Source organism: Homo sapiens, chromosome 11, assembly GCF_000001405.40.
Source record: "Homo sapiens chromosome 11, GRCh38.p14 Primary Assembly".
In the NCBI taxonomy this organism is placed as follows: Eukaryota; Metazoa; Chordata; class Mammalia; order Primates; family Hominidae; genus Homo; species Homo sapiens.
This window is the reverse complement of record NC_000011.10, coordinates 126,604,263-126,619,530: the sequence shown is the minus strand read 5'-3', so window position 1 is coordinate 126,619,530 and position 15,268 is coordinate 126,604,263. Positions and strand designations below refer to the sequence as shown.

General features: G+C 47.3%; 1 protein-coding gene and 1 long non-coding RNA gene across 18 annotated transcripts in view, besides 3 other annotated features; one reads left to right on the top strand and one right to left on the bottom strand.

Annotated features, from left to right (window-relative positions):
* KIRREL3 (kirre like nephrin family adhesion molecule 3) overlaps positions 1-15,268 on the top strand; it is a 580,037-nt gene that overhangs the window by 383,864 nt on the left and 180,905 nt on the right. The gene's annotated exons all lie outside the window — the stretch shown is intronic.
* Positions 7,141-15,268, bottom strand: part of KIRREL3-AS1 (KIRREL3 antisense RNA 1) — a 68,564-nt gene continuing 60,436 nt past the window's right edge. The window contains exon 2 of the long non-coding RNA NR_174952.1: positions 7,141-8,870. This is a non-coding gene — a long non-coding RNA (KIRREL3 antisense RNA 1). The remainder of the gene's footprint in view (positions 8,871-15,268) is intronic.
* Positions 10,277-10,961: an enhancer, noted in NCBI's record as "H3K4me1 hESC enhancer chr11:126478465-126479149 (GRCh37/hg19 assembly coordinates)". NCBI's record gives its function as "activates a minimal SCP1, AML or CMV promoter by ChIP-STARR-seq in primed H9 embryonic stem cells {active_cell/tissue: H9 hESC(primed)}" and the evidence as "EXISTENCE:reporter gene assay evidence [ECO:0000049][PMID:30033119]".
* Positions 10,962-11,647: an enhancer, noted in NCBI's record as "OCT4-NANOG-H3K4me1 hESC enhancer chr11:126477779-126478464 (GRCh37/hg19 assembly coordinates)". NCBI's record gives its function as "activates a minimal SCP1, AML or CMV promoter by ChIP-STARR-seq in naive H9 embryonic stem cells {active_cell/tissue: H9 hESC(naive)}" and the evidence as "EXISTENCE:reporter gene assay evidence [ECO:0000049][PMID:30033119]".
* Positions 11,648-12,333: an enhancer, noted in NCBI's record as "OCT4-NANOG-H3K4me1 hESC enhancer chr11:126477093-126477778 (GRCh37/hg19 assembly coordinates)". NCBI's record gives its function as "activates a minimal SCP1, AML or CMV promoter by ChIP-STARR-seq in naive and primed H9 embryonic stem cells {active_cell/tissue: H9 hESC(naive and primed)}" and the evidence as "EXISTENCE:reporter gene assay evidence [ECO:0000049][PMID:30033119]".

Sequence of the window (15,268 nt, the reverse complement as noted above, 5' to 3'; positions counted from 1 at the left end):
AATTAGAAGTGCCTCCTGCAATCCAGTCTCCACATAGGATCTTTTTTTAAAATGTGAATCAGATTATGTCATTTTCCCATTCAAACCCATCCGATGGCATCCCACCACACTTAGGATAAAATCCAAAGCCCTCGCTATGGCAGGTGGGCCCTACACCATCTGGCTTCCGCCTTCCTCTCTGGGCTCATCTCCTCCCATTCTCCCCCTAGTTGATTGTTCTCTCCAGGCTATTGGGCTTACTTAATGTGCCAAACTCAGTCTGGCCTCAAAGCTTTGGCATCTCCTGTTTCCTCTGCCTTAAATCCCCTTTCTCCCAGATCTTTGGAAGGCATATCCTTGTCATTCAGATCTCAACTCAGTTGCTATCTCTTTAGCAAAATCTTCCCTGATTATTCCATCTAAAGGGATCCCTATGGCCAGACACCCTCTAGACCGCTGTCTCATTATCTCCAATGCATTTATCAGCACCTGAAACTCTTTGTTATTTACTTTGTTTTCAAGGGCTTGCTTCTCCAACTAGAAGTCAAGATCCATGAGAACCAGGCCCTTGTCTGGCCTGCCAGGTTCTAGAATAGTACCTGACACACAGTGGACACGTATTAAATATTCCTTGGGTGAACCAATGCAGGATCAAACAGTGGACCTGACACCTCGTGGAGTCATTAACGAGTCTTTCATTAGTAGAGGAGGGTGATTCAAGTCACAGCCCTTAGCAGGGATGCTCTGGGAAGACTCTTTGTGTTGAAGAGGTAAGGGTGAGTGTATTAGGTTGTTCTCGCATTGCTATAATGAAATATCTGAAACTAGGTGGCTCATGCTTGTAATCCCAGCGCTTTGGGAGGCCAAGGCAGGTGGATCACCTGAGGTCAGGAGTTTGAGACCAGCCTGGCCAACATGGCGCAACCTTGTCTCTACTAAAGACATAAAAATTAGCCAGGTATGGTGGTGCATGCCTGTAATACCAGCTACTCAGGAGGCTGACGCAGGAGAATCGCTTGAACCCAGGAGGCGGAGTTTGCAGTGAGCCAAGATTGTGCCACTGCACTCCAACCTGGGTGACAGATGACAGAATGAGACTCTGTCTAAAAACAAAAAAAAAGAAAGACAAAAGAGACTGGGTAATTTATAAAGAAAAGAAGTTTAATTGGCTCCTGGTTCCATAGGCCGTACAAGAAACATGGCGGTTTCTGCGCACATGAATCTCAGAGCTAAAAGGTAGAGTTTGGCTCACTAATATGGTTTGGATCATGTGGGTGAGTTCTCATGAGTGAGTTAGCACCACCCTGGCCAATGCGTAACTATAAATCTGCCTCAGCCTAGCTGAGGCCTCAGGAAACTTACAATCATGGCAGAAGTTGTAGGAGAAGCGAGATGTCTCACATGGCCAGAGCAGGAGGAGAGGGGAGTGGGGAGGTGCTACACAATTTTAAACAACCAGATCTCGTGATATCTCACATACTCACTATCATGAGAACAACACTGAAGGGATGGTGCTAAGCCATTCATGAGAACACCAACCACATTATCCAATCACCTCCCACCAGGCCCCACCTCCAACATTGAGGATCACAACTGAACATAAGACTTGGGTGGGGACACAGATCCAAACCATATCCAACTCTGCTTTTTACCTCTGAGATTCACATGTTCATAGCCTCATGTCACAGAGTAGAAAGAGCACCTGATTTTGAAGTCAGACAGATCTGAGTTCAAATCTTAGTTTTGCTACTTATATACAGTGGGACTTTGAGCAAGTCAGTTAACCTCTGTGAACCTCAGTTTCCTCATCTGAAAAATGGGGATAAAAATGCCTATCTTGCTGGGTTGTGGGGAATGTTTATAAAGCTAATATGTGCAATGTACCTAAAACAGAGTCAAATCCCTAGTAGGAACTCAATAAATGGCAGCTCTAGGTCAGCATTCGTGATTTGCTCTACAACCATCAATATTCAATGAGATGGCTGATTTGCTGGCAATATTCAAGGAAGAAAACTATTTAGAGGGCATATATTTCTTTTCCTGAGAAAATAGTATGTCTCTTAAAATTATTTTTGAAAGTAGATAAGTATAAACTTTGAAAACCAAAAATCAAAATGAATGTCCAACCTTGAATTTCTTTTCCAATTATCAGTTTACCCATGACCTAGATACAGCCCCAAACTTCTCTGCAGTGAATCTAGTGATTCCCAGCTCTCTCCTCCTGCCCCTCAGAGTTATAAGAGAGAAGAGGCCATGTTTCTTCACCACCTGCCATCTAACTGCGTGGGCAAGCCCACCAACCAAATCCATTTTGTTTCATGATGACATCACCTTTCCAACTTGCAAGTAACTCAGCTTCTCCCATTCTGTGGGTCCTGTCTGCAACCTCAGCCTCGTCAGGCTAACAGGCCCACTAGAATCTGTGGCCATTCCCCAAAATTTATTTAGTGAGGCTGTGAAAGCAAACTCCTAAGCCCCCAACCTCCAACCTGCCTGCTCTGATGGAAAACTGGAAGATCACATGATGTGGTAAAATAAACAATTTTTAAGTCATGTTTAAGTAAGACTCTCTGGCTTTCACTTATAATTTAGTCTTTGAAACATCTATGAGGCCAGGCCAAGTGGCTCACACCTGTAATCCCAACACTTTGGGAGGCCAAGGCAGGAGGATCACTTGAGCCCAGGAGTTCAAGACCAGCCTGGGCAAAATAGTGAGACCCTGCCTCTGCAAAAAAAATTAAAAATAGCCAATCACAGTGGTGTGCACCTGTAGTCTCAGCTACTTGGGAGGCTAAGGCTCGAGGATCACTGGAGCCCAGGAATTCAATGCTGGAGTGAGCCATGATCATACCATGAAACCTCAACCTGGGTGACAGAGCAAGACTTTATCTCTAAACCAACAACAACAAAAGCCCTGTGAGCCTCAGTCTTCTCATCTGTAAAAGGAAAATCCTATCACCCACTCTGTGTGTTCATTATCAGAAACAAATGGGATGATGTATTTTAAGCACTTGATTCTCAAATGCTGGCTCCCTTTTTTGTGCTTACCACTGCTACAACCACCACCTAACCCCTCCAGAGAGAGTTTTCTGGAAAGCCTCTATGCCCAACCAGGCTAACAGGAGGGTCATGACTGAATCTGACTTAATTTTCTTTCAAGTTAAGACTTGATTTGGGCTGTGTTTAAGAAGAACGCACAGCTTGTCAGGCTGTGCACCCCATTTGAAAGGAATCACCATTCCCACGAACTTGTTTCTCCCCCTCTTTCCTTTTCCTGTCTTTCCAGCCAATTCCAGCCCCTCTCCCATTCATTCTCCCAAGCCACCATTTCAGCCTTCCTTGCAGCCGCCCATGAACGGGCAACGCCATCTCAGTAATGCATTTCTTTCTGTGCCTTTAGCTATGCCATCACTTTGATGAAAGATTTCCTTGGAGCACCTGCTCCTTCCTCAGCTGCTTCCACCCTCTGCCACGTATGCTCGGCCGCGTAGTAATGCAATCACTGTGTCTATGTGAAGTGAACGGACACACTAACACAATGTTTCATAACCAAAGCAGTCATGCATCTCCCCACCCACGCACCCCACACACACACACCCAGGGCTCCTCCCTCCATCCTGTCCTGTCCCCGGGGGCATACAAAGAAGTCTGCTCCCCAGACATATGACCAAAAGGCTTAATGCAGGCAAGTGGCAGAGGAGGCCGCAATACTTATTACCTGGAAAAGACCATAACTGCTGAGAGAGCACTGCCATCCCAGAGCCTATGTAGCCAAAGGTAGTAAGGCTCTGCCTCTGGACCGGGCCAACACCTCACTGGAGGAATGTGGGGTAGGTGGCTGATAGAGCAGTAACTGGGTGACCTCAGACTCTAAAAATCTACTCAGCTCCTGGCTCCATCATCATCTGGGACTGTCCTAACTCAATCCATACTTATTGCCATGGCACAACTAGGTCCCCCAAGTGGTTGTCTATCTTCAGCTTGAATACCTCCAGGATCCTGGTGGGCAGGATGGTTAGGAACACAGGTTTTTGAGTCAGACAGACCTAATTTCACATCCAGCCTCTGCTACCTACTGGCTGTGATTTTGCCCATTCCTTAACCTCCCAAAGCTCTGGTTTCCTTAACTGTAGAGTGGGGTAATAAATATACTTACTTCTAAAGCATTAGGAGAGTTAAACAAGATAAAGCAAGAAAAGTGATCTGCATAGTGGGCATTCATGACAGTAATTAATAATCACAGGAATGACAATAAACATTTATTGAGGACTGTGCCAGGAACTGGATTAGGTGCTGAGAATACAGAGATGAGAAAGATGTCGTCTCATTGTAGAGAAGACTGTCATAAAAGCAGGTGCTAAGGCAGAGGTATGCACGGGGAATATGAAGCACAGCTCTACATTACAATTCTTCCTCATAATGCACCAAAATGTCTTTCCCTGACTCTCTACCCACAGACCTGAGTTCAGCCCCCCAGAGCATCTCAAATCACTCCAATCCCTCTTCCACATGACAGCCTTTCAGCCTCTTGAAGACCGCAAATCACGCCTCTCCCCAAGTCCCCCCTTTTCTAGGCTAAACAGTCCCAGTTCCACTCGAAAAATAATAAGCCTACCTTATCTCTCTACATGACTTTCTCCAAGGAACAAAGCTATTTTACCGGCCCCAGCTCATCCATCTTCTCAGCACCATGAGCCCACAAAGAAAGGAAGATTTACCTGCCCCAACCCAGACCTGATACTAAGAGAAATTCAATTCCATTCAGGATCTCCCCAGAGTCTCCCAGCGGAGACACCTCGAACCCCAGCACAGAATCACAATCCTGTGATTGCGGCCCACTTGTCTGCAAATACATCTCACCAGCCTTGGCTGGACTGACATCACTGCCCAGCTCATAACACTGAGGAACCAGAAATCTGGAGGGACATCTGAGATCACCTGCACCAGGGGTCCTCATCTCTGGCTTGATGATAGAACCACCTGGGCAGTGTTTAGTAGAGACACCAATGCCCAGGTCCATGCACCCTCATGAGAAAGTCTGATTTAATTGATCTAAGGGCCTGAGTATCACTGTAGTTTTCAAAGCTCTCCAGGGCATTCTAATACGCAGCTAAGATTAAAACCCATCCATCTTAGTTCAACCTTTCCTTTTGCACTTGAGAAAACAGCGCAAAGAATGGAAGTGAGTTGTCCAAGGTCACAAACCTACTTAGAGGGAAAAATAGGATTAGAACTCCTGGCTTCTGACTTCCAATCTAGTATCTCTTTTACTAGGCTACCTGGAAATTAACATTCTGACTTAGGAACTGGAATCTAAGGGGTATGCCATTGATACCATAGAGAAATCGACAATAGATCGAACTTTTCCAACCCTTAAAGCGCACATGTTAATCCCCCTTCTCTTTTATAAATCTTCCCTACTCCCCACTTACATCTGTACCCTGTCTTAAAATGTGATGTCAAAATGCCACCCACAAAGGGAGAACTCTATTCAGTTTTCAGCCAAAAGAATTACACAGAAAAGAACCTCATCATAAATCAAGAGCCAAAAGCAATTCTTAAAACCAAATTAAGGTCCTGTGCATTCAGCAAGGCCTGTTTAGAAATCAGACCTTCAGGTTCACTCCCCTGCTAGATAAAGGCTATGGGGAAAAAAATAAAAAAAAAAAAAAAAAAAAAAGCAACAGTATTAACATTCCAGAAATGCAATCTGAAATAAATAAGTGATATTTTCTGGCCAAGGTAATGCAAGGGTTTTCGTTCCCAATGTGATGGAGCTACTTTACATTTTAATAAATGCACATCGAGAAAATAATATTATTGCTCTGATATTGGGAGATTTGTGAACATAAAATATTAGAACTTGTCAGGAAGGCATTTATTTTCTTTTTCCTTCTTTCTCTACTGCAATATTCTTTCACCTAATAGAAGATGATTACAAAAATAATTATATCAAACAGTGGCCAACACACACAAAATAAATGGGAAAAAATGAAGGTTATCAGGCATTGGATGACACACATGAGCAGGGGAAAGCACGTGTCCAAGCAGGGGGAGGTAATTGCACATCAATCAAATGATTGCAGAGTGGGTGGAAAAAATTAAGGCAACTAAATGGCTGCTGAATGTTCTGATCCCAGATGCAAATCAGAACATGGATTAGAACTCATTAGCCAAATTATCCATCTCCAATATCCGTGTGAAAAAGCCAAAACTGTAGCTGGAGTTCTGTGTTGGAGAAAATCATCTAACCTTAAAACACTGCTGCGTGCGAGCCTGTAATCACGAACTTTGGGATCCACAGCCAGTTTCTGATGGTTCTGGGACCCCTGAAATGATGTATATTCACACATATGCATTTATCTGGAGATTCCATGGTTTTTAATATGTTTCTAAAGGAGTTCTTTATCAAATAAAAATTTAAATGTAAGGGGGTGGACACTAAATTGGCCTTTCATTTAAAAAAGTCAAATAAAAACTCCTCAGAAAGCAGTTTGGCGGTTCTGCAAAAATTAAACATAGAGTTACCATATGACCCAGTGATCCCACTTCTAAGTATATACCCAAGAGTACTGAAAACATACGTTCACACAAAAACTTTACACAGATGTTCATAGCAGCAGTATTCACAATAGCCGAAAAGTGGAAACAGCCCAAATGTCTAGCAGATGATGAATGGACAAAATGCGCTTATAGCTATGCCATGGAATGTTACTCACCCATACAAAGGAATAAAGTACTGATGCATGTGGCAACTGGGATGGAACCTTGAAAGCATTTTGTTACGTGAAAGGAGACGGACACAAAAGGCCACATGTTGTAGGAGTGTCCAGTATAGGTAAATCCACAGAGGCAGAAAGTGGGTTAATGGCTACCGACGGGGACAGAAATGGGGAGTGATGGGTGTGGGGTTTATTTTGGGGGCGATGAAATTGTTCCAAAATGAGGTCATGGCCATGGTTGCAAAATGTTGTAAATATACTTAAAACTACTGAACTGTCTATTTTAAAGGGGAAAATGTTATGTTATATGAACAACATCTCTTTTTTAACGAATGTACTTAAAAAAGACTAACCCCTAAAGCTTCCAAGTTCATGAGACAGTTAGTAGCAGAGCCAGGTGATAGGATGCATAGAGAACACAAGTATGAGATCAAGAAAATTAATCCAAATTGACACCACATTTATTTATTCAAATACTGAGGGAGCATTTATTCTATGCCAGGGGTGTCCATATAATACTCAAATTCTGAGGGAGCATTTATTATATGCCAAGGGTGTCCATATAATACTCAAATTCTGAGGGAGCATTTATTATATGCCAAGGGTGTCCATATAATACTCAAATTCTGAGGGAGCACTTATTATATGCCAGGGGTGTTCATATAATACTGTAGTGAACAAATAGACACACTCCTTGCCCTCTTGGAGTTGATATTTCAGCAGGAGGAAGACAGGTTACCAAATACACACCCAACTGCGTAAGTCCATCAGTGACGTGAGTTGTGAAGGAGATGCACAGGTAACATGAGAGTGCACAGGGGCTGACTGGGCTGGGAGGCTTGCTTGAGGAGGTGGGCTCCAAGGGGCAACAAGCACACATGTTGAAGGAACTGAAGATCCACGTGGACAAAGTCACCAGAGAAGGACAGAGGGCATCGGCAGGTCCTAGAGCGACAGTAGCACCTACAGTTGATTAAGAATCTGGTGTTCCAGCCTGATGGGTCCAGCCAAGGTGTGATCCATTCCTGAAGCATCAGCCTGGCGGGGCTGTGGATCACAGAGGCAGCATCCACATGCCAACAGCCTCTGGGAGGCTACCATGTTCTTGGCAGCCAGAAAAAGACTCTGCGATCAGTGAACCCAACGTGCGTGCAGCCCAGAGAGCAGCCATCTGTGGGGAGGGCACGGGAATGCAAACGTGGACAAATGACATGACAGCCACCTTTGGACTCTGCAGGCCATTGCCCTCACGACACCTCAGGATAAAGGGAAGAGTAGGAAACTAAGCAAGTGGAAAACAAAGGAGATGAAGTGGGAAATGTGAAACATGAAAACGTTGTCCTCAAAGTCCAGTATGAAGGAGGAATATAGCTTCCATGCATGTGTGTGCATACCAAGGACGGCAAGGAGAATGCAGACTGATGGATCAATCAGAAAGACCACCCTCAAAGAGTGAAAGCAGCCTAGTTCTACAAAAGTCATGATCTCTCAAAAGGAGTTAGACACCAAAAATGTCAATAGAATTGAGAAGGAAAGGAATGGGAGAGGGTGCGGTGGTAGGAACAACAGTAATAGCAGCTAACATTCACCGGGCGCTGTGAGCCAAGAACGTTACATGTATTCTCTCGTTTCATTTCCCCACGATCCTTTTTCTATGACTATTCCCACCTCCCAGATTAGGTCTTTGTGACTTCAGTTGAGGAACTTCCCCAAAGTCACACAGCTCAGGAGTGGAGTCAGATTTTAATGTGGGCGGTCTGTCTCTTGCACCTGTACTCTTAGCCCCTAAGGCAAATGGTCTCTTTTTTCAAGAATCTTCATCGCAGGTTGTTCAGAGGCTTTCAGATGTGTCTAGCTTCCTCCTGAAGCTTGGAGATGTATGTTGAAAAGTTCCAGCTTCAAACCCCCGCCCGAGTCAAACTGCTAAGGCCAAGAATATCTTGGTCTAAATTCCACCTTAGACTTCTGTGAAAAATGATATTCTCAGTTCTCTGAGTGAGAAGCTTCTGCCCCGACCTGCATGATCTGGGGAGACCACTGAGGCAGCTTCAACTGTCTAAGAAAGAAACTGCTCTAAGAGAGATGGAGAGCCCTCCAAGAGATCCCAGGGAAGGATGGATTTCTCCAGCAAGCCCCTGCTCTCCGTTGCCCTGTCTGTAGTCCTGGCACCTGCAGGGAAGAGAATACCTGCTTCAGACATGCACGGTTGGCTCCTTCTCCCCATGTGATTATAGCCCCAGTGCCTGGCATTTGTTGAGTGCTCTACGCCCACAGACCTCCAATGCAAACATTCTCTCTCATTATCCCACATTCCCATGAGGTTGCAGGCTGGGCCAGGTTAGTCTATCATCCTAAGTATGTCCCTTCTGTCCTTGAGCCTAATGTGTTCATTTGTGAATATGAAGCATTGCTTGGGAAACTGTTAAAATCCTCTTACAGTTCAGACAAGCAGGCTCATGCCTGTAATCCCAGCAATTTGGGAGGCCAAGGCAGACAGATTGTTTGAGACCAGGAGTTCAAGACCAGCCTGACGAACATGCCGAAACCCCCATCTCTATTAAAAATACAAAAATTAGCCAGGCGTGGTGGTGCATGCCTGTAATCCCAGCCACTCGGCAGGCTGAGGCAGGAGAATCGCTTGAACCTGGGAGGCGAAGGTTGCAGTGAGCCGAGATCTTGCTGCTGCACTCCAGTCTGGGTGAAAGGGCAAAATTCTGTCTCAAAAAAAAAAAAGTTAACAGCACAGATTTTGGAGTCAGGTCAGGCCTAACTTTGTAACTGAAACAATGTGTGACTTCGGCCTCATTTACTTAACCTCCCTGAGCCTCAGTTTCTTCATCTGTAAAAGGAAGATGATCATTGCACCTTCCAACAACATTGGGTTGTTCTGAGGATTCGTTGAAGTCATCCACATAAAATTCTTATCTCGGTGCCTATCGCATCATCAGGTTCTATTAATGTTAGCTGCTGTTGTTCATAATCAACAGAAAAAAACTGACACAGTAAGAATGTGCTGGAGCTGCGAGTGGCTCTCAACTTTTGCTGTATATTAGAATACTGGGGAGCTCTGAAACCTTGTAGCCACACCCCCATACCGATTAATCTGGAATCTCTGGTTGTCAGGTTTTTCAGACATCTCAGATAATTCCAATATGCAGCCAAAGTTCGGAACCCCCAGAACACGATCCCAGTTCCAGTTAGATTTTATACAAGTGAGCATGCATCGGAGGTCCCCCCAGAAAGGAGCTGAGCTTAGTGCAAGGCTGTCTGATCTCAGGCACATTCCCCTGCCCCTCTCTCCCAGCAGGTCCCCCACCCACTTAACCTTTCACGAAGCCTCTCGGCCTCACATTCACTTCAGGTAGGCTGCAAAGGAGACCGTCCTCATACATGTCCCGAGGCAGGAATAACTCTGGTTGCTTAACCACAGTTGTCATACTCAGGAGAGACGAAAGGAAATCATAAATAATAGATGCTACATAAACAAGGTCCAATTAACCCAGCCACCAGCCCGGGGGGAAGACATACATTAGCCCTCTCTGCAAGAGGCTAAGGAGAGACATTAGGGAAACTGCCTGGAGCTTCACAGGTGTGGCTGGAGAGTCTCTCCTTCTGAACCCAACCTTCCCCGCACCCCTTTCCTGAGGTCCGGTCTCAGAGCGGGGAAAACAAACCCAACCTGGGCTGGGCGGTGGTCAGGTCTCGCTGCAGTGCTCCTCAATTCAGCACAATTCCATGCAGAGTTGAGTGGGCAGTAACTTTAGCCCTGTCTCCGGGTTAGTTTTCCATTCTCCTAGCATACTAATTGCATCACATTTCTCTTCTGCAACAAATACCCCTCTGGCCTGATTGTTTCTGCTACCCACCCTGTACTCTGACCCACAGGAAGTCACTTGTTTCTCAGGGCTAACAGCAAGCTGGGCTCCAGAGCTGCTTCTCCATCCCCTCCCCTCCTGTCCTGGACATAGGTCTCATCAGGCATCCCCATTGCCCATCTCCACTCCAGAAGTGCACTCCCAGCAGTTAGGCCCCAGGAAATGCAAGTCACCTGTGCCAGTTAGCAGTTTGCCAGCAGGCCCAATGCTCTGCCTCTGGACAGCCCCCTGCCTGCCTCCAGGAGGAGTCCTCAGTGCCTCTGGGACCACCATCCCTTAGCCAGGGAGGGCTGGGAAGGGGGCTCCTACTGCAGCCACAGGATTTTGTGTATGGATTAGTCCAGGGTGATTATTGAGCTCAGAAGAAAGCAGCTCGTGATTAAGGGAGCCATTTGGGGAGGGGAGAGGAGGGAAGAGGAGGGGAGTTTCTCAAAACACCTGCCTGGGAACGCACTGGAGGAATGCCAGACGCGCACCTCCCACAGACAGAGGAAGGGCACCAGGGGCTAAACCTGGTGGAAAAGCAAGGTTAGTGAATTTAATGAGGTGATCTTAGGCAGCTTAATTCAGCTCGATAGCCTGGGGCTAGAGGAGGAGCCCCCGCACAGGAAGTCAGAAGTTGGGCCTGCACTAATTAGATTTCACAAATGCTGCTGTTATTCAGCACGTTGTTCCAAACGCCTGCCAGGTGGATAGGAGGCTCCCAGCGGGGGCTTCTGAGACCGCCCCCTTCAGCTGCCTCCTGCTTTTCTCTCCCACCTGTCCTGGCCCACCATGGCCCGCCCCCACCTCCAGCTGCATTCCTGGAATTGGCACCCAGCTCAGACTCCACCTGGGCCCACCCTGTCCCACCTGTGGGGTGGTCTAAAGGGTGAGGATGGAGCAGCAGCCACCAACCCTCCCTCCTGGGTTGGTAAGAGACAGCACGGCAGGCACGGGAGATGATGAGAAAGGCCCTGGAGACAGCTGACGTGCTCGTTCCTCGGGCCCTTGCTGCGATGGGGCTGAGCAGTTGCCCTAGTGCCTGGGTGGATCCCTTTTCCCCAGACTTGCAGCTGCAGAGCTGACCCAGTAGTGATGTTCGTCCTTGCAGTGGGTGGCAACTCTGTCTTGATTGCAAGTGCTCAGCAACGCTCCCTATTCATCTGTGTACCCTGCAGGGCTAAGCAACTCGGCCCTTCAGCAAATCATTAGGACTAAGTTTCTCCATCTGTAAAATGGCTAATTGCAGAAGGCCACACAGCAGCAGGGACCCAGATAAAGCTCTTGCAGTAGGGAAGCTTTGTTTTGTCCTCGCTAGCAGCTGCCCTAAGTGTTACAACTCAAAGGGCAGAGGAAGCCACTTAATGCCTACATGATAATAACAGCGATCAATTAATAATGGCAATAATGGTCTTTGAACGTGGAGCGCTGCTTCTCTCCAGCGGGAGCCCAGTTCCTGCTCCTGAGGGACAGCCCCACCTGCGGAGAGGCTGCTCCCTCCAGTGGAAGGAGGTGGTCATGGTCACCGAGAGTCAGCTCGGAGCCAGATGTGGATCTCTCCTTCCTGATCTCTCCTCCAGCCCTTCCTCTCCCAGCCAAGAGTACTCATATTCACATTAGAAAGCAGCCCCAGCCATAAGAAACCCGTTCTGTCTGCCCAAAACCACACCAAATGTGTTATGGCGACTTCCTCGCCTTGCCCCTCTGGCCGCAGTTTTTCTTCCTGTACAAGGAGGTGAGCCAATCTCGGCTCAGCTACTCCATCGTTTCCCTGGGTTTAGGGAGTGGAAGCCCCCAGGTATTTTCCTGGCTTTGCCCCTCCATCCACTCTGACGACCTCCTGGGAGGCCCTAGCTACTCATAAGCCCCACGACAAGCCCTGTGGTTGGTTCTTGGCTGCCAGAGAGAGCCCCTTGGAAGAGAACAACTGCTTAATAAGGATAAACATGTGGCATGCAATTTAAAAACCCTGGAATACCCGGCCATGTGATAGGCAGGTTCCAAAGCTGCTTACTTCAGCTAGAAAGCACTGCCTGGCCACCCCCGCCCCTTCCCATCATCTGAGCTTCTCCCCTTTCCCATCCAGAGTCCTCCCTTGACCCCCCAAATCCCTTCCCATCTTTAATCAGTCTAAGCTTTTAAAGAAAGAAAAAAAGAGTGCAGAAGAAGGCCAGCATGTAGAGGTATGGCACTTAGGGATGTTTTAAGGCCCCTGCAGAGTTCAAGGAGAATGTCCCAAGAATGTTAAGCATGATCCCTCCCCTGGGTCTCTCCCCTCACTGCCAACCTTGAACCAAGTTATGCAGCTTGGAAACTGACTGGAGTCCTCCGGTTCCCTCCCTGGAATGTCGAGGGTCTCGGCCTGGTATCAACCCCTGGGGTGTGTAAGGTCATCTGGGATGTGGTCTGGAGACCACCCTAAGGTGGGGAAATGTGGAAGGCAGTTCCCAGAGAGCCCGGACTTCCCTCCCCCATGGCCCTGTGAAATCGACAACTTAATAATTCTTAACATTTATTGGGTCTGTGTTCCAAAGGATGTACATGTCATAATCTGCTCACTCCTCACAGCTCCATGAGTTAGGTATTATTTCCCCGTATTTTACAGACTTGGAAACTGAAACACAGAAAGACTACATAAATTCTCCAGAGTGACACAGCTAGTAAGTGATACACCCGAAATCCAAACCCACACTCCAGATCCACTCTCATAAACACCATACTAAACTGTGCCTTCATAAAAATAATATTTTAACATTAATAATACTAGTGACTCTGATTTGAGTGCTTTAGATGCTGGGTGCCTGCTAAGAGCTTCCCATGGCTTATGCTGGAATGCTCGAAACAGGCTCTATGAAGCAAATATGATTATTAGCTCCATTTTACTGAAGAAATGGAGGCTCAGGGAGATTGAATAATTGACTTAGTTACAGAGATAATGAGTGGTCAACTGGGATTCCTTCCCAAGATGGCCTGCGTCCCTCTGGACCACACTATGGCTCACTGCTCCCTGCCAAAGGGGCCATTCTGTGTGTCACTTCCCTGAGGCAGAGAATGAACAGGAGGAACCTCCAAGGTTCCCTTCTGCCCTTTGTGCCTCTAATTTGATCCCAGAGGAAAGATGCAATGAGAGGACTCCCTCTGCTTAACTCCCAAGAGGGACCATGTCCCATGCCCTCCAGACCTCACTCTCTACCCATATGCCCCATGCTTTCCCCACCCCATTCCCACTCCCAGCATCCCTACTCAACTCAGGCGGGACGCACAGCTCCAGGCCCAGCATGACGGATATGTGTGGCCAAGAATGGCAATGTATTTATTAAGTGAAACCGACAACTTTCATTAACCCAAGTAGACATTATTAAAACGCGCCGGTTGTCTCTGGGAAATGAAGTGCCCAGCACAGGCTGTGAGCAGAGCTCCTATTTGCGTGCGCCAAGCTGCTAAGTGTGGGCTGTGCCTCCCTCCTGGCATCCTGAGTCTCATCCATCATGTCCCATGAAGTAGGTCCCATCCTGAGCCCCCACACCACTTCACAGCAGTCACCGCAGGACTCCTCCCCCTGAGCCTCAAATCCCAGACCCAAGTGGCCTGAGACCTGGAGACCATGGGTGCTCCATTGCTCCCACTCCCGACGCCTGAAGATGAAGCTGCTCACTGGGACCCTGATCCTCTACATTAAGTGCAGCACATTATACCTGCCTGGAATCCTGGCAGTGACTAAGGAGGCACCAACTGCAAATGTGACTTGGTAAGATCCCAGGAGTCGGTCCCTAGATATAGTTATCCATGGGGCCCCAACCTGCTGCAGATGGGAGAGCAGGGAATCCAGGAGAAAAGCCAAGAGCGTGGGAGGAGCCAAGGAGAAAGGGCAGGGCCAAGAAAGGCCACACCCTCACCAGGCTCGATGCATTGTCTGTGATTATGGGTCTTTGTTGAGGTGAAGGAAGCAGTAATAATAATCTCATCTGCCACTTTGCAATTTACAATGCACTTTTACATATGCCGTTTCATTTGCTCCTCCTAAGTGTGCTATGAGGGAGATAGCATCAGCCTGATTTCTCTTTTGTCCCCATGAGGAGAGGGGGCTTGGGGTTAAATAATTCTGCTGTGAGGCTCTGTGAAGTTAGCAGGTTGCAGCTCTGGGGTGAGTCTAGCGTTGCTTCTCTGAGTCACCTCCTTTCGAAGACCTCCTCTTTTATTGTGTTCCAAACATGGACACCTGGCAAAGCTCAGACACGCTTGTTTAGAAGTGGGCCATTCTGCGCAGCCTCAGACCCCCTGCTGTGTGCACCATGGCTCCAGGCAGTGTGCTGTGAACACCCACCCACCCCCATGTGGCCCACAGGACACACCTGTAAGCCAACGGATCAGAACCCTCCAGCTGTAGAGGCAGCAGAGGATTTAGAGTGGCCAAGAAGGACTGTACTAACACTAACTGCGAACGGCCTGGTCCTCAGTTTCCCTGTCTGGACAGTGAATTTCTCTGTAGGGCTGTGGTGAAGACTAAATGAGATATGGTATACACATTATCTTGTACAAGCCTGGCACATGGTACATGTTCAACAAATGGCAGCTCTTACTGTTCTTATTAAAGAATGCTAGACAAAAATGCAATGCAGCCAGTATGTATGGAATACTCAGTTTCATCCTAGCTTAGGAACAGAATGCCTCAGACCTTCAGGGTGGTCTTCCTGCCCATTCCCACGTGTA